The 25,618-nt window shown below is 36.7% G+C and overlaps 1 protein-coding gene across 31 annotated transcripts in view, besides 1 other annotated feature; it reads left to right on the top strand.

The window, feature by feature from the left end:
- The window catches only part of COP1 (COP1 E3 ubiquitin ligase), a 262,456-nt gene that overhangs the window by 101,047 nt on the left and 135,791 nt on the right, over positions 1-25,618 (top strand). For all 31 annotated transcript variants that reach the window (XM_047427793.1, XM_047427798.1, NM_001286644.2 and 28 more), the window contains 2 exons: positions 20,350-20,464; positions 24,953-25,088. In XM_047427793.1, coding sequence (XP_047283749.1) covers positions 20,350-20,464; positions 24,953-25,088 — 251 coding nt within the window. The remainder of the gene's footprint in view (positions 1-20,349; positions 20,465-24,952; positions 25,089-25,618) is intronic.
- Positions 9,308-9,807: an enhancer, noted in NCBI's record as "H3K4me1 hESC enhancer chr1:176065569-176066068 (GRCh37/hg19 assembly coordinates)". NCBI's record gives its function as "activates a minimal SCP1, AML or CMV promoter by ChIP-STARR-seq in primed H9 embryonic stem cells {active_cell/tissue: H9 hESC(primed)}" and the evidence as "EXISTENCE:reporter gene assay evidence [ECO:0000049][PMID:30033119]".

The raw sequence follows: 25,618 nt of genomic DNA, 5'->3' as shown, positions 1-25,618 counted from the left end.
GGCCGACATGGAGAAACCTCGTCTCTACAAAAAATACAAAAATTAGCAGGGTGTGGTGATGTATGCCTGTAATCCCAGCTACTCAGGATGCTGAGGCAGAAGAATCACTTGAACCCATGAGGAAGGAGCTGCAGTGAGCTGAGCACACGCCACCACAGTCCAGCCTGGGCAGCAGAGCGAGACTCTGTCTCAAAAAAACAAAACAAAACAAAAAACAAAACAAACCTGTAAACTAAGTTCCTCCCAAAGTTAGTTAAGCCTGTGCCCAGTAATGAACAAGGACAGCTTGGAGGTTAGAAGTAAGATGGAGTCAGTTAGGTTAGATCTCTTTCACTGTCTTAGTCATAATTTTGCAAAGGTGGTTTCAGTCACTTAGATGCATACATTTTGGTTATGTGACCAGCTTTAATAGATACTACTGAAATCAGGTGCAAATCATGAAAATCATGAATTCAATTATTATTACTAAACAATGCTGACCAACTGATGTGTTTTGCGCCAAAACAACTCCCTGACTCATGATTACAGAAAATTATTTATCTTTAGTTAATATATTCTATAGCATAGGCAAGGGTCAGTGGTCAGTCCATACAAGCTGAGGTCAATCCATGCTATTCTACCATGTTTAGGGTTCATTCTGGCATTTGTCCTTTCTATATTTATAATTTCCTTTTCTGATGGAAACCTAGCTGTCACGATCAAAATACACTTACTTATTTGCATGGTCTTAGAATATATATACAAAAGTTAGCATGAAAATTGCTGAGAAAACCAATGTAACTAGAGATATTTCTTTGAAATTCCGTTTGTCTTTAGCCTGAGAATATATACTGAAAATATAGTATATTCAAAGGTTATTTGGATTTGTTTAATTTTCTTCAATTTTCGTTGTGATATTTCTTTGAAATACAGTTAGGTTCATTTACTTCTATTTGTATTTCACCCCACTTTCCATCCTTATTATATATATCCTTTTTGAATATGTAAAATATTACCCTGATTCTAAAAATCAGAGCTGTATAAAAAGTTATAATCAATAACGGCTACCCTTTCAGCTTTTCTACCAATTTCCCTACCTCCATCTTTTCTACTCCATTTCTACTTACCTTCTTTAGGTCACCAATTTTATTAGTCAGATTTACAGATACATATGCACATTTTCTTATTTTTACTCTCTTTCACAAAGGGTAGCTTTCTAGTAATTTTTTTTCTGTACTTTATTTAACAATTTATGAGGAAGGTAACTCTATGGAAGTTCATAGAAGTCCTCCTCATTCTTTTTTACAGCTGCATGAAACTTGTCATGTGGTTGTACTGTAATTTACTTAATCACTTTGTTATATAATGACAAGTACGCAGTTTCCATTATTTTGAAATTACAGCCAGTAGAGAGTGACTAATTTGTGCCTATGTATTTTCATATTATTGGAGGTGTACTTTCAGTGTAAATACCTAGAAGTGGGATTGCTGGGTCAAAGGTATGAATGGATAGTACCAAATAAACCACCCTCCAAAAGCAGTTTGTGTCTTCACCAACAACATGTAAATATGTCTGTTTTCCCCACAGCACCTCTAACAGAATGACTTTGAAAAGTTTCATAGTTTTTAATTTTTGCCAATATATTAGGTGAGAAATATATCTCAGAATAGTTTTGTGTTTCTTTAATTATAAATGAGATTGACTATGTTTTCATATGTTTACTGGTTTACTAATATACTTATTAGTGAGTAGTATACTCATATCTTTAGCTGACAGACCCTTTTCTTCTATTAGGTGCTTGACTTTTTGGGTTCAATTTATAAGACTTTGTTATATTAGGAATACTAGTCTGTTACCTATGACCTGTGTTGCCTATATTTTCTTCCTATTTTATTTTTTTACCATTCAAAAGTTTTTAGTTAAAATTATCAATTTTTAAAAATTACATCTAGATCTTTGAATCACAGTTAAAAGCTTCTCCCTACAACCAGGATGTAGAGAAACCCCTTGTTTCTTAAAATACTTGTCTCATCTTTATTTTTTTACATTTAAATTCTCAATCTATTTGGAGTTTATTTTAGTGTATGTTTTGAAATGTGGATTTAATTTCATCCATCCAAATGACTAGCTATGTGCCCCCAGCCCTATTTTAAAAAGTTTATCCATCTGCTGGTCTGTTTCTGTTTCTGTATTGTTATCATTCCTTTATTGTAGACGCTTTATGATATGTTTTAATGTCTGATACTTCTCTTCTTCCCCTATCTTAGCTTCTCTTTTTCATTGTTTTAGAGAATATTTCTTCCTGTTTGTTTTTTCATAGGAACTTTAGTATCAGTTTATCTAGCTCCCTAAAAAAGCTTCTTGGTATTTTTTATTGGAACTGCCTTTATCTTACCAATTATCTCAGGGAGAATTGACATCTTTATGATACTGATTTTAACTCTAGGTTTTGCCTATATTTTTCATAAGTTTATTTCTAAGCATTTTTTAAAGCTGAAAATTTGTTTTTAAAAATTTGAAATTAAACTTTTAATTTTGAGATATTAATAATTATAGATTTACATGCAGTTATAAGAAATACAGATTTAGCATCTGAAATCTAAAAATCCAGAATTTGTAATGTTCCAAGATTTGAAACTTTTTGAGCTGTGATATGGTGCTCAAAAGAAATGCTAATTGGAGCATTTTGGACTTTGGATTTTCAGATTAGGGGTGCTCAGTTGGTAAGTACAATGCAAATATTCCAAGGTAGGGAAGAGGATGGTTTGCAGAGCTTCCATGCCCTCTCTGGGCATGCATGCTCTCCTGATCATCCTAGACCTCAGTGTGTTCACCAACCTGGAAACTCATTCAATCTTATTGTTTAGGAGCTTTATAGAGTTTTATAGAGCTTAATCTCCAGGCCTCACCCGCTTCCTGGAGGTTGGTGTGTGTGCAAAAGTTCCAACTAATTACTTGGTGATCTTTTGACCAGCCTTATCCTAAGGCTTTGTGGGTGTCTCACCCTAAGTCACTTCACTAAATTCAGGTATGATCAAAAGGAACTTGCTGTGAATAACAAAAGATGCTGATATCACTCAGGAAACTCCAAGGATTTTAGGAACTGTGTGTGAGGAACTGTAACACCCTAATGGGTTCCCCTTCCCCCACTGCCTAGACAGAGCTGATTTATCAAGACACTGGAATTGCAATAGAGAAAGAGTAATTCATGCAGAGCCAGCTATGCTTGAGCCCAGAGTTTTATTACTCAAATCAGTCTCCCCAAGCATTTGGGGATCAGAGATTTTTAGGATAATTTGGTGGGTGGGGGAAGTCCAGTGAGTCAAGAGTGCTGATTAGTTGGGTCAGAGATGAAATCATGGGGAATTGAAGCTGTCCTCTTGCACTGAGTCAATTCCTGGGCCAGGGCCACAAGATCAGATGAGCCAGTTAATCTATCTGGGTGGTGTCAGCTGATCCATCAAGTGCAGGGTCTGCAAAATATCTCAAGCACTGATCTTAGGAACAGTTTAAGGAGGGTCAGAATCTTGTGGCCTCCAGCTGCATGCCTCCTAAACCTTAATTTCTAATCTTGTGGCTAATTTGTTAGTCTTACAAAGACAGTCTAGTCCCCAGGCAAGAAGGAGGTTTGTTTTGGGAAAGGAAAGGGCTGTTTTCATGTTTTTTAAGCTGTAAAGTAAGTTCTTCTCAAAGTCAGTTCAGTCTATGCCCAGGAATGAAAAAGGACAGCTTGGAGGTTAGAAGCAAGATGGTTTGTTTAGGTCAGATCTCTTTCACTGTCTTAGCTGTAATTTTGCAGTGGCAGTTTCAGAACTTTGGACAGAGACCAAGTATATTTCTTAGACCACATTTCCTTTTCATGTGTGTAGTGATATTGTTGCAAAACTTTCTCCTTAGTTCAGCTAAAACTGGGCTCTTGTCACACGAATGGGAAAGATTAGGCTTGCAGGCACGTACAAGGGTGAGGAAAACGTAATTTATTGGGCGAAAAGGAAAAAGGGAAAAATAACTCTCAGCAAAGTGAGACAGAATCCTGCTAGCAGGTTTCTTGCCTCACAGATTGAATCCCAGGTCACCACCCAGGGACAAGAGAGACCAGGCTCCTCCCCGCTGCAAATGGCACAAACTTCCTGAGGCCCCACCCCATCCTCTCAGTGTGCAGATGGGTATTATTCAGAAAGAATCAGCTGGGAAAGGGCAGGCTTCATCCAGGATGGGCAGTCTGGTTTTTCAGCCTTCAGACTGTTTTAGGCTTGAAGGAGGGGTTTTGCCTGGGGACACTTGGCTTCCTCCTGTCTCTATCATTTTCTCCTCTAAAGAAGTATATATCTAACTGCCATAAGGATAAGGAGGAAGATTAATCTTAACTGCTTCCTGCTGACAGGGTGTGCTGTTTTGGGAAAATGGCAGTCAGATCTCCCTGAGAGGCCTGTCTAAGGGTCCCATCAAAAGGGGCCATCATCTGAGGCTTCGGTTGCATGACCATTTGGAGTGTGATGGCCTGAAGGCAAGAAGAGACAACTGGGTTATTAGAAAACATGTATCAAAACAAAATAAGTGGGGAGGGTGTGAGGACAGCTAAAAAATCTCGAGACCTTTTACTAGTTAGTGCAGGGAGATGGGGGCAGAAGCCCGACTAGTAAAACAAACTTTTACCCTTTGCTGGCATGTTGGGCTTCTGGGTTCCCTTCCCCTGAGCCCAATCCTAAGCCAACCAATTTAAGGTTTGGGAAATTAACTTTTCCCAGTTTGGAAGATGCATCCAAGGGGAGTGTCCCATAGTACAAAGACACGATTACTTATCAGTGAAGAGAGGACAGAGGAGGAGAAAGGAAAAAGAAAGCCTTTTTTTTTCCAAAGGAGTCCTGGGATTCAGGATGCATTCAAAAGGGTTACAGAGTGAAGATGAATGGCTGCTTATCTAGAAAGAGAGGAGCACGGTGCCCCAGGTTCCCTTCTCTTCCTAGCAAATACCTGGAGTATTTGAGGGAGGGAAAGTGAGGTGTTCCTCTTTCTTTCCTCTGTCCTTGGATCCCGAGTCCCACCAGCCACGATAGGGTGCCACCCATGGGTGTCAAAGCAGCTTTCACTGATGTTGATGGTGGGGGGCATGCTACAGGGTGGGAGTATTCACTCTTACCCATGTACACCTTATGTCCCCTGCTGTCAGTAGCCTTTGAATTCCCTAGACCTTATTTATGCCATGGATAGTAGCGTGACCTTTATCTATGCAATGGGAAGCTTGGCTTAGTAAGAATCAGTCACACTAACCTATGCTGTGCCTTTTAACTTCTGTTATCATCTGCCTCTGGATCCATCAGATCCGGTTTTCTTTCCTAGGGCTTTGACCCAAAGCTTGGAATTGAGTTTGAGACAAAAATGTGTCTTGGGGGGTGGGGGTGTTGCACGGACTCCTTTTCTTAAGCTGAATGCTATGGTGAAGCTGTGGAATTGAGTCCTGCTCCAACAAGGGAGAAAAGGATATCTTGTGACACCCCAGATAACTGGTGGATATAGTTATGCCTGCTAAGATTTGGGTGCATAGTTCTTGTCTTTGGTTAGCTCCCTTGTTCTTAGTTTTCCAAAAAGGAAACCTCCGAGTGACGGGCATTCTGTTTATTCCCATCACCCGGCAGGATAATTGCTCAGAACTATAATATTGATCCAGATTTCTACATTACCCATCCCTTTTGTTTTTTTCTGAGCTGCAGCTGGAAACTACTGTTTGGTTCACAGGAACAAGCAGGGTTAGTCTAAAATGTAGGCAAACACTTAAAAATAACAAAGGAATGTAGAATTTAATGACAAATATATGATAAGTCTTGAAATATAATTTATCTCTCTCCAGTCTTTTTTTTTTTTTTTTTTTTTGAGACAAAGTCTCGCTCTTGTCCCCAGGCTGGAGTGCAATGGCGCTATCTTGGCTCACTGCAACCTCCACCTCCCAGGTACAAGCGATTCTCCTGCCTCACCCTCCCAAGTAGCTGGGATTACCGGCGCCTGCCTCCACACCTGGTAAGTTTTGTATTTTTAGTAAAGACGGGGTTTCACCATGTTGGCCAGGCTGGTCTCGAACTCCTGACCTCAGGTGATACACCTGCCTCGGCCTCCCAAAGTGCTAGGATTACAGGCGTGAGCCACCGCACCCTGCCAGTCCTTATTTTTGTTAAAAAACAAATCATGATAGGATTGAATTGTTTGCAAAATAGACCTTAGTCTTATACTTGGCCTGATTATTTGTTTAAAGTGCAGCAAGATTAATTATTTTTACATAGGCCTTTTAGATTGGCTTGGACGGAACTCTTCCACAAGAAATCCCAGATAAGACCTTTTAAAGCCAAGCCCAGCCATCAGTTTGTATCCTCAAATGCCTGTGAGTTGGGTGATCCTGCTCTCTTAACGTCTCAAAATAAACTTGGAGCTCTGGGCCTGTAGAAGGTGACATTCTTTACTTATCACAGGTCAGGAACCCTCTACAGCAGCTGTGTAGACAAGGGTATGAGGCCATTTTTCCCAAGGGGCTTTTATTGGCTCTGCAAGTCGAGCTTGACTCCTTAAAGGGAAGCATACCCTTCAAGTTAAGCCTTGGTAAAACAACATTTCTCCAGTTGCATCCAGTTGCAAAAGAAAATGGATTCTTATTGCACTGATGTAAACAACTATATTGCCATAAGTTAAGAACACTTACAACTAGTTTCCAAATTCTGGAGAAGCCAGGGAGAGAGAGAGAGAGAGAGAGAGAGAGAGAGAGAGACAAATATGCTCCAAATTTTTTTCACAGGAGTGTGCCATACTCATTTATTAAAGACTGTAAATAGTTCAAAATAAGTTTCCTTGACTATGAAAAAACAAAACAAGGATCAGCAATATTCCAAGCAAAAGTTAAAAAGATTACCTCAGTTTTTGGTGAGTTCAGTTCATTTAGTTAACTCTTATTTTGCTTGATATTCATCAACATTTTAGTTCTTCATGAGTCCTGCACGTTTTTCCTGTATTGTAATGTTACAATCTCCAAAGTTATTAGAAACCTGTATTTGAGAGTACCTGTTAGAGTCCTATAGCTTGTTATAAGCCATTTTTTGAAAAGGATCAAAACAAGACAGCAATTGTCTGTGAATAACAAAATGTCCAGGGTAGTTACAGTTAGAAGCACAATTGACAAAGTAGTTTGATTATCTCTGTGGTTTACAATAACTTAACATAACAACCTTAATTATGATGGATAGCATATACTTTAGACATTAGAATTTTTGGAATCCCATACAGTTTTGAAACATATATTAGTAGTAGTCACCAAAATATAACCTAAAGAAGATTGAACACCATTTTGGCAATCTCATGTAAGTAAACGTGTTCTGTTTACCCCTCATTTGGATACTCCAGGGACTCTCTGCAGCATCCAAAAGCTAGGCATCAGGAAAGACAATTTTGAAACTGAAGTTTGATTTTGGGAAGCCTGTTAAATATGTTAGAGGTTTAAAACACTTGATGTTATGAAATAGAATTCCAAATTATTCCAGGTAAGTTATTTATTTTGCCAAAATGATGACTCAGAAATTTGAAAAACAAAAATCTTTTATAACCCTTTACAAATTTTCCTAAAGAGCAGATTAGTTCCTTAAGAGTACGTTTTTCTGCTTTTATTTCAATGCTTAGTTTACAGAAAAACCATATAATGCCTTTTTGAAGTTAGTCAATATGTTAACACAGAGAATTTATTTTGGAAGATTAATTTTTACAATCCTTCCATCACTTGTTTGAACTTTTAGCTTTTTTTGTTTGTTTGTTTTTTGAGATGGAGTCTCGCTCTGTTAAACTTTTAGCTTTATCTTATCTAATTCAGAACAATCCTTAGACCCTAGGCAAAAATTTACATTTCCACACCTTCTTATAATCTTTTATTAAAAACACATCATAACACACCTCACATGTAAATCTATTTCCAATAGTTTCAATTACATATTATAATGGTAACTCTTAGCAATTTTACCTTTAAAACCTGGTAAATTGTTTTAATTATTTGCTTGGTGCAGCCAAGGTTTGACTTCTTCCAGCATAATTAAGGGCATGGTTAGTTCCTTATGTCGCCAGGTTTTACCAAATGTGGAGCCATCAAGTTAGATCGTTCTCAAAAACCAAAAAAGGCAGGTTATAACCTTAAAACATTTAGCAAACCTAATATCTGACCTATATAATTTAGTTTACCTATTTACATTTTGATGACATCTGTATTTTACCAATAATCTTTAAGGCTGTTTTTTATTTCTTAAAGATTAAAGTCACGTGAACTGAAAGGCACTACAGCTTTTATTTTCCTTTTAAAAAACATTTGATCAAAGTGTTTATCTTCCTTTAGGCCAATTAATTAGAGCTTTTTTTTTTTTTTTTTTTGAGATGGAGTTTCACTCTGTTGCCCAGGCTGGAGTGCAGTGGCATGATCTCGACTCACTGCAACCTCCGCTTCCCATGTTCAAGCGATTGTCCCGCCTCAGCCTCCCTTGTAGCTGGAATTACAGGCATGTCCCACCACACCTAGCTAGTTTTTGTATTTTTAGTAGAGATGGGGTTTCACCATGCTGGCCAGGCTGGTCTTGAACTCCTGACCTCAGGTGATCCACCTGCCTCAGCTTCCCAAAGTGCTAGGATTACAGGCTTGAGCTGCTGCACCCAGCCAGTCTATAAAAAAAGCTCTATAAAAAAAAGAGCTTTTTTATAGACATCACACACACAACACATATATATGTACACAGATAGACAGAAGAAAACCCAATTGCCATAAGATCTTTCATTTGCCAGTCTCCTAATTGAATTAATGGTCTCCAGGTGGAGCCTTTAAGAGACAGGGCTAGGAAAACATTCAGCTTCTAAGGCCTAACAAACAGGCATAAATGAGGCAAAAACAGATTTTGAGAGGGATCTATTTGCTTTTAATTACTGGTGTTCCATGAGGAAAACAGAGGTCTCTTCCTTCTCATGTGTGCATTGAGAGTGGCAAGGAAAAATGGAGAAAAATAATTCAGTCGTTTTTTTTTCAACAAAACAAGGTCCTAGAAGAGAAAAACATAAAGACCTTTTACCTATGCCTACAACTTGGATATCTACTTTTAATTAAGCTGAGTGTTCTTTAAGAAAATCCTTTTAAATCCCCTATTACCTGACTTTAGCCATCCCAAGTGGCCAATATTTCTGGCTTTCAAACTTTACTAAAGGCTCAAAGAAAGTAAAATCCAAGGCATTTCGTGGAGGGGAAGAGAATCAACAAATAGCAAAGGTTGCACAGGTATCAAACCAAAAAGGACTCATTCCCTAAGCCAGGATCGAACCCCGGGCCACAAATGTAAAATGGCAGAGGCTAGAACAAAACATTGTCATGTGGTTACAGGTCTGGCTCTGAAGGACGTAAAACAAGATGGAGGCCTGCAGCAAAGTTTGCTACTTACCATACAGAAAGTTATGTAAAGCAGACCAGATTGGCTACAGCTTAAGACCAATATAAATCCTTTTTCATAGTTAAAACTTTACAGAGAATATAAACAGTGATAGTTGGGGTCTTGGCCTTGTAAAACATTTTCTAAAAAGGAAAAAAAAAATCCTCTCACGTAAAAGTTAACTGCTAATAGGTAGAGAAAAAACAGTTCATAGTGTAAGGGTAACCCTGGGAGAAGAACCTCTTATTCTTATACAAATGGGTTCCTTTCCCCCTGGCTCAGACCAATGGTAGTCTGGCCAGTCAACCATGCAGGGCCCAGGCCCCTGAGGCCGCCTTGGGGCCTGGACAGTGGCTGTGGCTCATTCCCGCCCTGTGTGGTCGTTGGACACTGCACTCATGTGGCAGACATGGCCATGCACCCAAACCAGGAGGTAAGGGGAGTGGGGAGCTGCCATTCGCCCAACCATCCTGAGCCTGAGCCTGTGGCCATTTAAGTGGGTGTGGACCACCTCCAGTATTATAAAAGAAAAGATAGGTGCTGTTACTGTCCTGAAAAAAAAAGAAGAGGCATGCCATAGGACCAAAAGGCTCAGAAGCGAAAGTGAGAGGTTTTGGGTTCACATTTTACTCACCCTTCCTTTGGCCTCACATTGGGCAGCAAAAATGCTGCAGAACTCTCTCCTTAGTTCAGCTAAAACCAGGCTCTTGTCACACAACTAGGAAAGATTAGGCTTGTGGACACCTAGAAGGATGAGGAAAGTGGAATTTATTGGGTAAAAAGGAAAAATAACGCTCAGCAAAGCAAGAGAGAGTCCTGCTAGCAGATAAAGTACAGTGCATACTTCTCATTTTGTCACAGAATAGTAAAAAGGTATACATGCAAAGGCCTGGATTTAATGCAGGATTTAATTTGTGTGACCTTGTTAAGGGCATCCTTAAGTGAACTGATTCTTAACAGATTTTTATATGTTTTTTTAAAAAAAATTATGAATAGTAATGAAGAACAGTGTCTACCAGTCGGATTTGGTGCTGTTGCCTTTATTTGTGCTAAGAGACCAGCAGTCTTATACTGATCTTTGCTTTTGTATCACAAGTACAAACATAAGCACAAGGAAAATTGCAAAGAACATCTTTTTTTTTTTTTTTTTTCTGAGACAGGGTCTTGCCCTCTCACCCAGGCGGGAGTGCTGTGGCAGGATCTCAGCTCACTGCAACTACCTCCTGGGCTCAAGCCATCCTCTTACCTCAGCCTCCCCAATAGCTGGGACTGCAGGTGTATGCCACCATGCCCAGCTTATTTTTTTTTGTGTTTTATAGAAACAGGGTTTTGCCATGCTGCGCAGGCTGGTCTGGATCCGGACTCAAGCAATCTGCCTGCCTTGGCCTCCCAAAGAGCTGGGATTACAGGCGTGAGCCACCACACCAGGCTGCAAATAACATCTTACTATTTTTAAGAACATAGCTTTGTCCTCCCAGATTCCTGAAAAGATCTTAGAGAACTCCCAGTGGTCCTCAGCCACATTTTGGGGATCACACTATGATAACCACTATTCTAAATTCTGTAACTCTTTGCTTTAAAGCTAGTCATTAAATCTGCTTGTATGAAAATGTGTGTATGGGTTTAATAGTTAATTTGTTTTATTATTTTGTATGTATTCCTTGAACTTATAAAGTTTACTTATTGTGTAAATAATGATAGTTTTCCATGCAGTGTTAATTTATGAAATTAGTTTGAGAAAAAAGTATTTGTAGATTGGAAAAATTTCAGGTTTCAGTCAATCATACAGACACTTTTAGCTTCATTTGAAGTAGGAGTCTCCTCTTAGTGGAATTGACAGGGAACTTTGCCATGGTAAGTTACTTATTTTATTATACAAGCATTGATTTCATTAGTCTTTTGAAGATCTCATTGCTTTTGTACTCCGCTATTTTATATTAAGTATATGAAATAGAATATTCAGTTTTGCTTGCTGCTTTTCTGTTTTCATGTTAATTGCATTTATTGGGAATTAAAGTAGTTATATGTGTAAAGATTTTTCATAATTTACAGGCTGACCATAAATTATCTTTTTGTATGATCATCTAATTTGCTCTTTTATCTTCATAGTATGCCTATTAACTTTCTAGCATTTATTTGAGGACTTTTTTTTTTTTTTAACTTTTTCCAATGACCAAATAAGATATGCTTCTGTTTTTGCTGTGGTGAAATTTAATTATCTTTGAGTTTGCTAAATGTGATCATTTTTCTTTAGAACCAAGCTAGGTAAAATTAACATAGTTGATAAATATTTCTGTTTGATTTGTGTCGTATTTATATCTACCTCTAGGTAAAAGAGCTTATCTTGAAATTGTTTTATTTGAAGATTGGCCTTGTAGACTATCTGCATCCAATATGTATTTTCAAAACATTTATCTCTGCATACATAGCACATTTCTATTTTTTATATTAATATTATTTATAATTTAATAATTAAACTGGCATATGATGATGACCCAAGTGTTGCATATTTACCAACAATTATAAGGCAACCTAGTTGCTTGTAGAGTTTTTGAGTAAAGGATTTACTCTAGGGTTTTGAATAAATTTAAGAAATGTCAAGAATAAATACAGGAAAATAATTGAGAAAATGAGTTTACTATAAAAACTGGAAGCCAAATAAGTAAAACAAAACAGTGTTGCTGACTACTTCCTATTTGTTTTATATGCCCTGTTCCTGATTATTGTTAATTATTCTCATCTTTCAGGCTTTGAAGTCTTATCTGTTTTTCCGTTAAACAGATCACTTTTTTTTTTTTCCTTTTTTTTTTGAGACAGAGTCTCACTCTGCCTCCAGGCTGGAGTGCAGTGGCACAATCTCAGCTTACTACAACCTCCGCTTCCTGGGTTAAAGTGGTTCTCCTGCCTGAGCCTCCCGAGTAGCTGGGACTACAGGTGTGCGCCACCATGCCCAGCTAACTTGTTTTTGTTTTGTTTTGTTTTGTTTTGTTTTGAGACAGAGTCTCTCGCTCTGTCACCTAGGCTGGAGTAGTGGCTTGATCTCGGCTCACTGCAGGCTCCGCCTCCCAGGTTCACAGCATTCTCCTGCCTGAGCCTCCCAAGTAGCTGGGACTACAGGCACCCACCACCACATTTGGCTAATTTTTTTTTATTTTTAGTAGAGACGGGGTTTCACCGTGTTAGCCAGGATGGTCTTGATCTCCTGACCTCGTGATCTGCCCACCTCGGCCTCCCAAAGTGCTGGGATTACAGGTGTGAGCCACCGCACCTGGCCACTAATTTTTATATTTTGAGAAGGGGTTTCACTGTTTTGGCCAGGATAGTCTCAATCTCTTGACCTTGTAATCCGCCCACCTCAGCCACCGAAACTGCTGGGAGTACAGGCATGAGCCACCATGCCCAGCCAGATCACTTTTGAAGAGATCTGTAGGCTAAAATCTAGAATTACAATCTTAGTATTATTAAAAAATATGTTGGTACCTACAAAGGAATATATTTCATTAATATGTAAATTAGAAATATAGCAAAACTTTTATGGAACTGGCTTCTGTGTTAGTTATTTAATAATAGAATATTAAAAGTAGTATACAGGTTACTCATGTGTTCCTAACCAATTTTATCACCTGCTTCCTATCCAAATATAATTATTTTTCTGATATTTATGTTTATCAATATGTTGACTTTTAAAAAAGTTTTACCACATATATACACACCCCTATATTATTTGTTTTGGCTGTATTTGAACTTTATAAAAATATTATAGTAAGATTTCTGAGATTTGTTTTTTCAGAGATTAATTGCTGATGCCTGTGGCTGTAGTTGTCACTGACGTATAATATTCCATTGTGTTACTATACTACAATTTTTCAGTTGAATCTGTATACATTACATGCACTTCTAGGGTTTTTGTTGTTCTTGCTATTAAGGGCATCTTTGTACATGTCTCCAGATCCACAGGTGCAAGAGTTTCCCTAGATATGTACCTAGGAGAGGAATTAAAGGGCATTGGGTATGCAAAATTTGTATTTTGAGTTAATAACAAATTGTTTTCCAGTGTACTTTTATCAATTTAAAACTCCCACTACATGAGTGTATGAGTTCCAGGTTCTCAGCATTCTTGCTGATAATTAGTATTGTTGGACTTTAAAATGATTGTCACCTTAGTGGTAATAAATAGAGCATAGTTGCGACTTTAATTTTTATTTTCCTGCCACTATAAAACAGCACCTTTTCTTATATTTATTGTCCTTTATGTTTTGTCTTTTGTGAAATGGCATTTCAAGTCTTTCCCCATTTTTTTGTGTTGGTCTTAGAGAAATAGATATATTCTGGATACTAATCATTTGTTTTTGGATACTGCAAATATCTTCTTACAGTTTGTATCTTGTCTCACCTTTTTAATGATTAATTTTGGTGAACAGAAGTTCTTAATTTCTATGTCATGCAATTTATAATTTTTATATTAGTACTTCTTGTGTTTCATTTAAGAAATTCTGCCCTTTCTCAAGATTGTAAACATATTATCCAGTAACATATTACATGGTCAGTTTTTGTAAATGTTCTATGCATGCTTCAGAAGAATGCCTATTTTTAAATTAGGTACAGTGTTTTCTATATATTCATTATATCAAATTTTATATTTGGCCATATATAAACTAGTGTTACTTGCATAACACTAGTTGCATAACTCAGTTGACTTGCAGATTTATCTCCCATTGTGTTAATAGGTTTGTCCACTTCTCTGGCAATTTCTGCCTGAAAAATGTTAAGGCTCTCTTATTACATACAGATGGGTTATGTTAAATTGAACCTTTTCTCATATACAGTGGCTGTTTTCATCCATATTAATGTTTTTCATCTTGAATCTATTTTTTCTCTTTTAGTTAGTATTCTTTCATGTTATTCTAATTTTTTAGTTTGTCTCTGTTTTAAGTATTTCTTTGGCAGATAGCATACCTTTATTTTAAATCTATTATGTCACTATTTCTATTAGTGATTGTTTCCATTTACATTTATTGCTAATACTGATATAATTTCATTCTGTTTTACTTATTATACTTCTGTTTTTCTCAGTTTTTGATTTTTTTTCTTACGTTTTTACCTCCCCCACCATCCCTCTTCTGGTTCGATTGTTACCTGTTCTATCACTGTGCTTTCAGTAGTTGTCTTTGAAATTTATTCACACTTATCATCTAAGCAGAGTATCTTAATTATCTTAATTACCTTCCTGAACAATACAAGAGCTCCAGAATGCAACTTTTTTCACTTTCTTCTGACTTATATATTGTTACTTGGATAATTTTTTGTCTTATTCTTAAGCCCCATAAACTAGATATGACGATTAATAGTAATATTTAGAATCACTTATTTATTTGCTCGTTTCCTTGCTCTCTTTTTTTATTTTGTGTCTCAGATCTTCCAGTTGGTGTCATTGTATTATTCAAGTACACAACTTCAGAAGTTTTTTTTTTTGTTTTTTTTTTTTTGAGACGGAGTCTCGCTCTGTTGCCCAGGCTTGAGTACAGTGGCACAGTGGCACGATCTCAGCTCTCTGCAACCTCTGCCTCCTGGGTTCAAGCTATTCCCTTGCCTCAGCCTCCTGAGTAGCTGGGATTACAGGCAGAAATTCTTTTAGAGATGGCTCACTGGTAATAAACTTCATTTTTGTTTATGATGTTGTGAGATAGCCTTTTGGGGTTCTGAATTTTAGGCTGAAATTTTTTTCTCTCAACTTTTTTAAGATTATTGATGTCCTTTTTGCTCTAGCTTCTTTCTACTGCTCTTGAAAAGCATTTTGCCTTTTTAATTGTTGTTCCTAAATAAATTATCTTTCTTTTGGTTTTAAGATATTTTTGCTGTATAGACAAAAACACAGTTTCACCTTAGTGTGTCTAACTGTGGGTTTCTTTTTAATTATCTCACTTGATCGGAATAATTTCACTTTCTGTGTATTCATGTCTGTTTTCAGTTCTGGAAAAACCTCAGCCATCAACTCTTCCAATATTTCTTCTTTAGTTTCTTGGTCTTTTCTTCTGAGTCTCTGGCCATATTTCAAACTATTATTCTTTTATGCCTTTTATATTGTTTTTCAAATTTTTTGTCTTCTTGGCTTTTATCCTACATTCTAGGCAGTTCTTTCAGATTTCTCTTCTACTTTGTAAATTCTGTTTTCAGTTTCCCTACTTGCGGTCCCTGGGCTTAATTCTCCAAATTCCAGTTCAATTACTTTTGTGTAGGTATTGTCCTCCTCTTTCCCCCTGCCCTGTGCTGCTGCTGTTATATTTTGTTTATCATTACATCTCTGAGTTCACCTTCCTGTTTGTCTGTTAAGTCTTTGAAAATTATCTTACTTTCTTGTGAGTTATTGACAAAGAGAGTCAAACGCTATAAAATATTTAAAGAAGTTTATTTGGAGACAAATAAACTTTTTTAAAGAGGTTTATTTGGAGCCGAAAAAACCAAAATGAGTGACCCTGGCCTGAGGCATAGTCTCAAGAGGTCCTGAGAACATGTGCCCAAGGTGGTTGGTATACATTTTAAGGAGACATAAGACACCTGTCATTACTTAGGAAGTTTACATTGATTCGATCTGGAAAGGCAGGACAGCAGGCAGGGACAGGGGGTGGGAACAGGGATTGGCTTACAGGTCACACATGGATTCAGAGATTTTTAGATTGACTCTTGGTTCAAAGAGTTAAGTTACTATCCAAAGACCTGAGATTAATAGGAAGGAGTGTCTGGGTTAAGATAAGGGGTTGTGAAGAACAAAGTTTTTATGTAGATGAAGTCTCATAGGTGGCTACCTTTAGAGGCAGTAGATGGTAAATGTTTCCTAATTAGGCTGGACTCTCAGTTAATCTCTTCAGGATTGGGAGGGCCTGGAAGGGGAAGGGTGTAGTTATGTTAATACAGATGCAAAATTTTCCTCACAAAAGACTGCTTTGCAGGATCATTTCAAAATATGGCAAAAAACTATTTGGGGGTAAAATATATTGATTTCCTTCTTTATTTGTCGTGACATTATTCAGAGTCAGGTTGAAAACTAAGAGAGATTATATAGGGTTAAGTAAAACCCATCTGATGAGATTTTATCGTTTGTAGGGCATGACTGCAGTCTCCTTAAATAGGAATTTGGGCAAGAAAGAAAAAAACTCAGAGTTTAGGTCTCAGAGTGAAGCAGTGCTTTAAAATATGACTCTTACCTCCTCCCATCTAGTTTTATCAAAGCAGGGATACACTGTAGTATACATTACAGTACCTTAGTACTTTTTACTTTATGCATTTGGCATTGTGGTACAGTTGTTGGTGAACTTGTGCCAGCAGGTAAATACCATACATATTTAGGACCACAAACCTTTGTTTTTTATAGGATTTATATGCTAACATTTTTCAAGTTTATTGCCTTTTATCTGATTTTGTTATTTTGTTCTTCTAATGAATATATCAAACTCTTTGGCATGTGTATATTATTGCCTCTTAATCTGATAATCAGTATTAAATAGATTGTTGTTGTTGTTGTTGTTGTTGTTGTTATTGTTTTAGACAGAGTCTCAGTCTGTCACCCAGGCTGGGGTGCACTGGCTCGATCTTGGCTCAGTGCAGCCCCTGCAGCCCTGGTTCAAGTGATTCTCCTGCCCCAGCCTCCCAAGTAGCTGGGGTCCTGCCACTGTGCCCGGCTGATTTTTGTATTTTTAGTAGAGACGGGGTTTCACCATCTTGGCCAGGCTGGTCTTGAACTTCTGATCTCGTGATCCACACACCTCGGCCTCCCAAAGTGCTGGGATTACAGGCGTGAGCCACCACGCCCGGCCTAAATAGATTTTTTTTTTTTTTTTGGAGACTGAGTTTTGCTCTTGTTGCCCAGGCTGGAGTGCAATGGTGCGACCTCAGCTCACTTCAGCCTCTGCCTCCTGGGTTCAAGTGATTCTCCTGCCTCAGCCTCCCGAGTAGCTGGGATTACAGGCATGCACCACGATGCCTGGCTAATTTTGTAGTTTTAGTACAGACGGGGTTTCTCCATGTTGGTCAGGCTGGTCTTGAACTGCCGACCTCAGGTGATCCGCCCAACTTGGCCTCCCAAAATGCTGGGATTACAGGTACGAGCCACTGCGCCCGGCCAAATAGATATTTCTTACAGCTAAGAACTATTCCAGTAATTCCAGGTTGTAAGGCTACAGTGTAGGGATAATGAAAAAGCAATTCATTTTTCTTTTTTTGGAAGTAATAATAAAATAATTTTTTATTATGCCTTCTTTGAAATGGAGGTAAAACACATATAAAGAAAAGCGCAGATCTTATGTATTTGCTTGAGTGAGATTTGACAAACACATACATGTGATCCCACAATACCGAGATGAACATATGGAACATTCATCTTGCCTTATGCTCCTTTCAAATTCAGTCCCAGTTCTTCAGGGGCAAATATTATACTGACTTCTAGAAACTCATAATTCACCTGTTTTTAATCCTTATATAATGAAATTTTGTAATAACATTACCTTTTGTGTATGACTGTCATTCAGTGTTTTTGAGATTCATTCTGTTTTGTATGTATCAGCAGCTCATTCTTTTTTTTTTTATGATACTTTAAGTTCTAGGGTACATGTGCACAATGTGCAGGTTTGTCACATATGTATACATGTGCCGTGTTGGTTTGCTGGACCCGTTAACTCGTCATTTACATTAGGTGTTTCTCCTAGTGCTATCCCTCACCCATCCCCCCACCCCATGACAGACCCTGGTGTGTGATGTTCCCCTTCCTGTGTCCAAGTATTCTCATTGTTCAGTTCCCACCTATGAGTGAGAACATATGGTGTTTGGTTTTCTATCCTGCGATAGTTTGCTGAGAATGATGGTTTCCAGCTTCATCCATGTCGCTACAAAGGACATGAACTCATCCTTTTTTATGGCTGCATAGTATTCCATGGTGTATATGTGCCATATTTTCTTAATCCAGTCTATCATTGATGGACATTTGAGTTGGTTCCAAGTCTTTGCTATTGTGAATAGTGCTGCAATAAACATACATGTGCATGTGTCTTTGTAGTAGCATGATTTATAATCCTTTGGGTATATAACCCGTAATGGGGTGGCTGAGTCAAATGGTATTTCTAGTTCTAGATTCTTGAGGAATCGCCACATTGTCTTCCACAATGGTTGAATTAGTTTATACTCCCACCAACAGTGTAAAAGCGTTCCTGTTTCTTCACATCCTCTCCAGCACCTGTTGTTCCCTGACTTTTTAATGATTGCCATTCTAACTGGTGTGAGATGGTATCTCATTGTGGTTTTGATTTGCATTTCTCTGATGGCCAATGATGATGATCACTTTTTCATGTGTCTGTTGGCTGCATAAATGTCTTCTTTTGAGAAGTGTGTGTTCATACCCTTCTCCCACTTTTTGATGGGGTTGATTTTTTCTCGTAAATTTCTTTGTGTTCTTTGTAGATTCTAGATTTTAGCCGTTTGTCAGATGAATAGATTGCAAAAATTTTCTCCCATTCTGTAGGTTGCCTGTTCACTCTGATGATAGTTTCTTTTGCTTTGCAGAAGCTCTTTAGTTTAATTAGATCCCATTTGTCAATTTTGGCTTTTGTTGCCATTGCTTTTGGTGTTTTAATCATGAAGTCTTTGCCCATGCCTATGTCCTGAATGGTACTGCCTAGGTTTTCTTCTAGGTTTTTATGGTTTTAGGTCTAACATTTAAGTCTTTAATCCATCTTAAATTAATTTTTGTATAAGGTATAAGGAAGGGATCCAGTTTCAGCTTTCTACATATGGCTAGCCAGTTTTCCCAGAACCATTTACTAAATAGGGAATCCTTTCCCCATTTCTTGTTTTTGTCAGATTTGTCAAAGATCAAATGGTTGTAGCTGTGTGGTGTTATTTCTGAGGCATCTGTTCTGTTCGATTGGTCTGTATCTCTGTTTGGGTACCAGTACCATGCTGTTTTGGTTACTGTAGCCTTGTAGTATAGTTTGAAGTCAGGTAGTGTGATGCCTCCAGCTTTGTTCTTTTTGCTTAGGATTGTCTTGGCAATGTGGGCTCTTTTTTGGTTCCATATGAACTTTAAAGTAGTTTTGCCAGTTCTGTGAAGAAAGTCATTGGTAGCTTGATGGGGATGGCATTGAATTTATAAATTACTTTGGGCAGTATGGCCATTTTCACAATATTGATTCTTCCTATCCATGAGCATGGAATGTTCTTCCATTTGTTTGTGTCCTCTTATTTCGTTGGAAAAAGTAACTCATTTTCTATTTGATAATTATTTTCTAACAATTTCTGGATATTAAGATTCCCAAAATCAGGCCAGGCGCAGTGGCTCATGCCTGTAATCCCAGCACTTTGGGAGGCCGAGGCGGGTGGATCATGAGGTCAGGAGATCGAGACCATCCTGGCTAACACGGTGAAACCCTGTCTCTACTAAAAATTCAATATAATTAGCTGGGCGTGGTGGCGGGCGGCTGTAGTCCCAGCTACTTGGGAGGCTGAGGCAGGAGAATGTCGAGAAACTGGGAGGTAGAGCTTGCAGTGAGCTGAGATGGTGCCACTGCACTCCAGCCTGGGCGACAGAGTGAGACTCCATCTCAAAAAAAAAAAAAAAAGAAAGATTCCCAAAATTCTAAATTTTAGAATGGCATAATGAATTCTGTCTTCATTTTATTTGTAGAAGTGAAGATGTTTCTCATTTTAGTCTTGTAAAACTGTCCTTTAGAGCTTATTTTTAGTCATTATTAGTTTTAATCATTCTGCGAATGAATTTGGTTTCTATTTTCATGTTAAAAGATAAATTGGAAAATATCTCAGAATTACAGTTTTTTACTATTTGTGATCATTTTACTGTGATGAACTTCTGAGGGTAAATGCTCAAACATTTGAGTATTCTGTGCAAAAGAAGAGTATTGTTTATTCTAAGTTTTGTGTCTTTTCTTATTATTTTAGACAAAGAAACAGCCTTGGTATAATAGCACGTTAGCATCAAGACGAAAACGACTTACTGCTCATTTTGAAGACTTGGAGCAGTGTTACTTTTCTACAAGGATGTCTCGTATCTCAGGTATATATTTAGACCTTCTCAAATTATCTGAAATCTACATTTCAGATCTGTTTCTAGGTTTTTGTGCTGAATTTATGGAAAGTCCTAATTGCAAAGCAAAAGTATGTATTTTTGACATAGTCTACCAGATCATCATGGAGGTTCTTAGTGATCTTAGAGAATGTTACTTTCCAATGACTATTTTTTGTTCTATATTTGTGAATTCTGAATCTTTATATGGCAAGCTAGATAAAGTTAAAAAGAAATTCAGCTATGAATATGTAGCCAACAAAAATAAGTTTCATTCAGTTGCCTCCTATTTAACATTAAATAAACATGAAGTTCTAAGCACTGTCCTCTGTGCTAAGAATAAAAAGATGAAAGAACTGGTTTCTGTCATTAAGGAGTGTTGTAAATCGAGTCAGGGAAAGCAACAGATAAACAGTTCTGTGTGATATTATGTGTTAAATAAGTTTACAGGAGTATCATGAGAATAGATAATAATATCCACTAATACAACTGATAGTAAAAAAAAAAATCCAGGCCGAATTGAAAATGGGGAGGTGTAAGGGAATGATCAGTGTAGGGATTTCAGAGGAGTTGTATATGGGCTATTCGAGTATGAATTAACTGAAAAAGATACTTAGAAACATGTTCAAAGTAGAGGAAATAACATATGCAAAGATGTGGATGTGATAGCATATGATATTTTTATTACTGTAAAAAAGTAATTTAGTTTTTCCTCTTTTTCTTAACTCTGTTCTTCAGTCTTTCTCAGTGTCTTTGCTCATCTATGAAGTAGAGACATTAACCCTAATGGGTTTTTTAATGATTGTAAGTGACATATATAAGATACAATGCTTGGTACATGTTGGGTGCTCAATTAATTCAGGTCATTAATGAGGCATCTGCTTAAAATAAACCCCACCAAGGGGGAAAAAAAAAAGTCTGGTATTTTATTGGTTGTTAAAAACTGGGTGTTGGTTTTCTCTTGAATACATATGTTTATATTATTTATAATCTACATATTGCTTAGATCCTACAGACAAATTTGCCTCACGATTAGTGGTATAGGAAAAAATATATTAGATTTACAAAGCATTTTTCCTCTGAAGACCAAGGGAGAAGGCAAAATTTGTTTGTTTGTTTGAAATTAACAACAAACAGTTTTTATGCTGGGAAAGCTTTCATTTATTGCCTGGGAATGGAGCCCCTTATTGTGCTTGTGTAATAATTTTTGCTTAGGATTCTCTTGGCAATGTGGGCTCTTTTTTGGTTCCATATGAACTTTAAAGTAGTTTTTTCCAGTTGTGTGAAGAAAGTCATTGGTAGCTTGATGGGGATGGTATTGAATTTATAAATTACTTTGGGCAGTGTGGCCATTTTCACAGTATTGATTCTTCCTATCCATGGGCATGGAATGTTCTTCCATTTGTTTGTGTCCTCTTATTTCGTTGGAAAAAGTAACTCATTTTCTATTTGGTAATTATTTTCTAACAATTTCTGGATATTAAGATTCCCAAAATCAGTCCGGGCGCAGTGGCTCATGCCTGTAATCCCAGCACTTTGGGAGTTGTTAAGTTGAAAGTAGCCCAATACCTGCATTCTGACTGGTAGAGTTCATGTTAACCCTTTCATACATTATTTGTTGGTATGATACTGAAGTACAACTATAGGCAAGTGGCAGACCTTTAAAAAAAGAGGTGGGAAAGAGATTGGGGTAGGCTATTATTAGTAATCTTTAAGTCACTGGCAGCATAGATATGGTATGGAATAGTAAAGGTCATCACAAGTCAGTTTATATTTGGGGGTGTAGCTTTACAAGACAGTAGAATAATAAATTAAAACCAGGTGGAAAATTAGATAGATTTTTATTTGTATGGGTATGGCTGTATTGTACGTAAAACATGTCTCTAGTTTTCAGGAATCTTACGTTAGCTAGCTACTCTAATTGTATTGCTGGATTGTAAGTTCCTCCTAGTACCTCTGACTGTAAAGGGGAAATTTTAACTTCTCTGAAACGGTGTACCTAAGAGGTTGATTGTCCTTTGTATATTTTCAAATGAGAATCTGTAAATCCATCTGTATTCTCTTTTATTTCCAACTATTAAAATGAAAGATGAATATTAAAGAACTATTACTTTGGAGTTTTAACTGTAATTGAAAGAGGAAGTTAATTATAAAGCACTAGGAGAAAGAAAAGAGACATTGAATACACTTTTACAAACCAATTTGTAATTAGGATAGGAGAGGTGATATACCAGCAGATATGTGTGGATGTTGATGATAAAACACCACGCAAACAAAATTCTACCTTTTTTGTAACCTCATAAGTTAAAATCAATTACTATACTTTCAGATACTGAAAAAACTAGTTTTATTGTTTTCTTTATGGTTTCTGTTGAAAGTAGCTATTAATGAGCTTATATGATGGGCAGAAATCCAGTTAGCCTAGAACAGGATTATTAGCTTAGAACAGAATACACAATATTGAATGCTTGTGAGTTTTATGTACTTAGGAATTGATATCAAAATGGGAATGAATAGGATAACATTGAAACAGTTTTTAAATTAATAAAACCAACCATCTTTCCAGTATGTAGAATGTTAAATAACTCACAGTAATAGGATTCCATATAAAAAGAATCATTAACTATTATATCCAGACCACTCTGCAGTACAGTTGGGATTTTTATTTTTGCAAATAACCCATGTTTTATTTATAATACGTGGAATTTCCTGAGAATAATTTTTGTGGAGCAAGAGTTTTGTCTCAATACCGTTATGATATTGCCTGTTAGGTAATTCCTTTTGCTGTCTTTAGAATGGAAGCACAACTAAGTGGACCCTTTAAATCTAGGTGTTTTGATGAATTTGCTTAGTGTTTAAATCTTTAAAATTTGTAAAATATCAGGGACAAAAGCTCACTCAGTTTCCTCAAGTAATGTTATTTATTTTTCTTCTTTCTTTTTTCTTTTTTCTTTTTTTTTTGAGATGGAGTTTTGCTCTCGTTGCCCAGGCTGGAATGCAGTGGTGTGATCTTGGCTCACTGCAACCTCCACCTCCCGGGTTCAAGCTATTCTCCTGCCTAGCCTCCCGAGTAGCTAGGATTACAGGCATGCTCCAGCACACCTGGCTAATTTTGTATTTTTAGTAGAGACAGGGTTTCTCCATGTTAGTCAGGCTGGTCTCGAACTCCCGACCTCAGGTGATCCGCCTGCCTCGGCCTCCCAAAGTACTGGGATTACAGGTGTGAGCTGCTGCACCCGGCCCTGTTGTTTATTTTTTTCTTATAATAATTGTTACATAAATTTCGTCATGCAAACAGTTATTTTCAAGATAACCTAATATCTCCAGATAACATAAATTCTTTACTGTGCATTATATTATCTGCATAACTCTTTTGACTTAATAATTCTTGCATCTTACTTTTATTATGCTTACTATACTTCAGATGGCATTTAAGAAGGGAAATCATGAACATTTACCTTGAAAAAGTTGTGTGTGTGTGTATGTATGGGCTTAGAATAAAGAAGCTATGAAAATACAGTGGTATAACAAACTTGTCTCAGTTTCAGTCTAGGAAACTAAAGTGCTCATTGTTTTTTTCATTCTTCAGAAAGGAAAGTATATGTTCAAACGACACAGTGCTGAAAAGCAATGATTTTTTAAATCTATGCTTTTAGTGTAGGTCTGCTTCTATTAATAGACTGGAGAATAGATTCGTTGTATTCTCAGGTACTTCGTAAACTGATACTATGTTTTAAATTCCACATGATTTATCTTCCAATAGTTTACTGAAGTGGACTTTACCCAAGGTTTTTGTATACTGTACCACTGGATGGAATTATTGTTTTTCATATTTCAGCAAGAGATTTGAATGAATATTTTTTCTTGATGAAGGCACTTTGAGATAAAAAGGAGCAATTTCAAACTTTTTTTGTTTGTTTTTTAGAATTAATAGTTCATAACATTGCAGTTTTCTACTGTCTTCCTGTAATAGGATTTGAAACATTTCAGTATATTATTTGACCAAATATTTCTTCTTATTTATAAACTATTTTATCTAAAATGTTATTATAAACGGGATTTTAAACAAAACATGGGCATAAATATGTGTGCCAGTAAACACGTTCCTTCAAACTAACAAATACTCATCCAGTACTCTTCTTAATATCCTCACATTCTCCATTGATGGATTTTTGTTTTAATGACTCTTAAATAGTAGCTTTATTATTATTATTATTGTTATTATTTTTTTTCCAAGGAATTATTGCCAAAAAAGTGAGAATTCACAGTGGAAAGAGACAGTATCTTTCAAAGAACCAAGACATTTTTTATTAAAACTGAAAAACTGACCAATTAAATTGTGTAAACTAGTCTTTAGTAAAATCTTTAAAAATTGTTTTTTGTATTTAGAATATAAATTTTAATTTGTGGATGTGGCTCTTTGACTTACTTTGCAGTTCAATTCATCTGTTTTGTCTTTTTTTTTTTTTTTTCATATAGATGACAGTCGAACTGCAAGCCAGTTGGATGAATTTCAGGAATGCTTGTCCAAGTTTACTCGATATAATTCAGTACGACCTTTAGCCACATTGTCATATGCTAGTGATCTCTATAATGGTTCCAGTATAGTCTCTAGGTAAGTATTGGTCAAATTACTATTTTCTTTTGTAAGAATGTCTAGAATCTAATTGAATTTGAGAAGCACTTATACCATTATTATTAAAAGCGTGGGTTCTGAAGTAGCCTGCCAATTATTAGTTCTGTGATTTTAGGCAAGTTCCTGAGCTTCTATATGCCAAATTTCTTCGTCTCTAAAGTGGAATAATTGATAGTATCCTTCTCATAAGGTTGTAGCTTGTTTTCTTGTACTATCATTGTCTAGTTTTGATGACAGTATGCTCTTCTCATAAGTGCTTCCACCTCTGCATTTTCTGTAAGTTTGTATAGAATTGGTATTATTTCTTCCTTAAATATTTTGTAGAATTTGCCAGTGAAGCTTCCAGAAAAGAATTTTAACTACCAATTCAATTTGCTTAAGAGATTTAGGGTTAATCAGGTTATCTATTTCTTCTTGATTTAGCATTATAATTAGTTTGTGTCTTTTAAGACATTTGTCCGTCTCATCAGGGCTGTTGAACTTATTGGCGTACAATTATTCATAATATT

The sequence above is a fragment of the Homo sapiens genome, chromosome 1 (genome assembly GCF_000001405.40).
Source record: "Homo sapiens chromosome 1, GRCh38.p14 Primary Assembly".
In the NCBI taxonomy this organism is placed as follows: Eukaryota; Metazoa; Chordata; class Mammalia; order Primates; family Hominidae; genus Homo; species Homo sapiens.
This window is presented reverse-complemented; position numbering and strand designations above follow the sequence as displayed.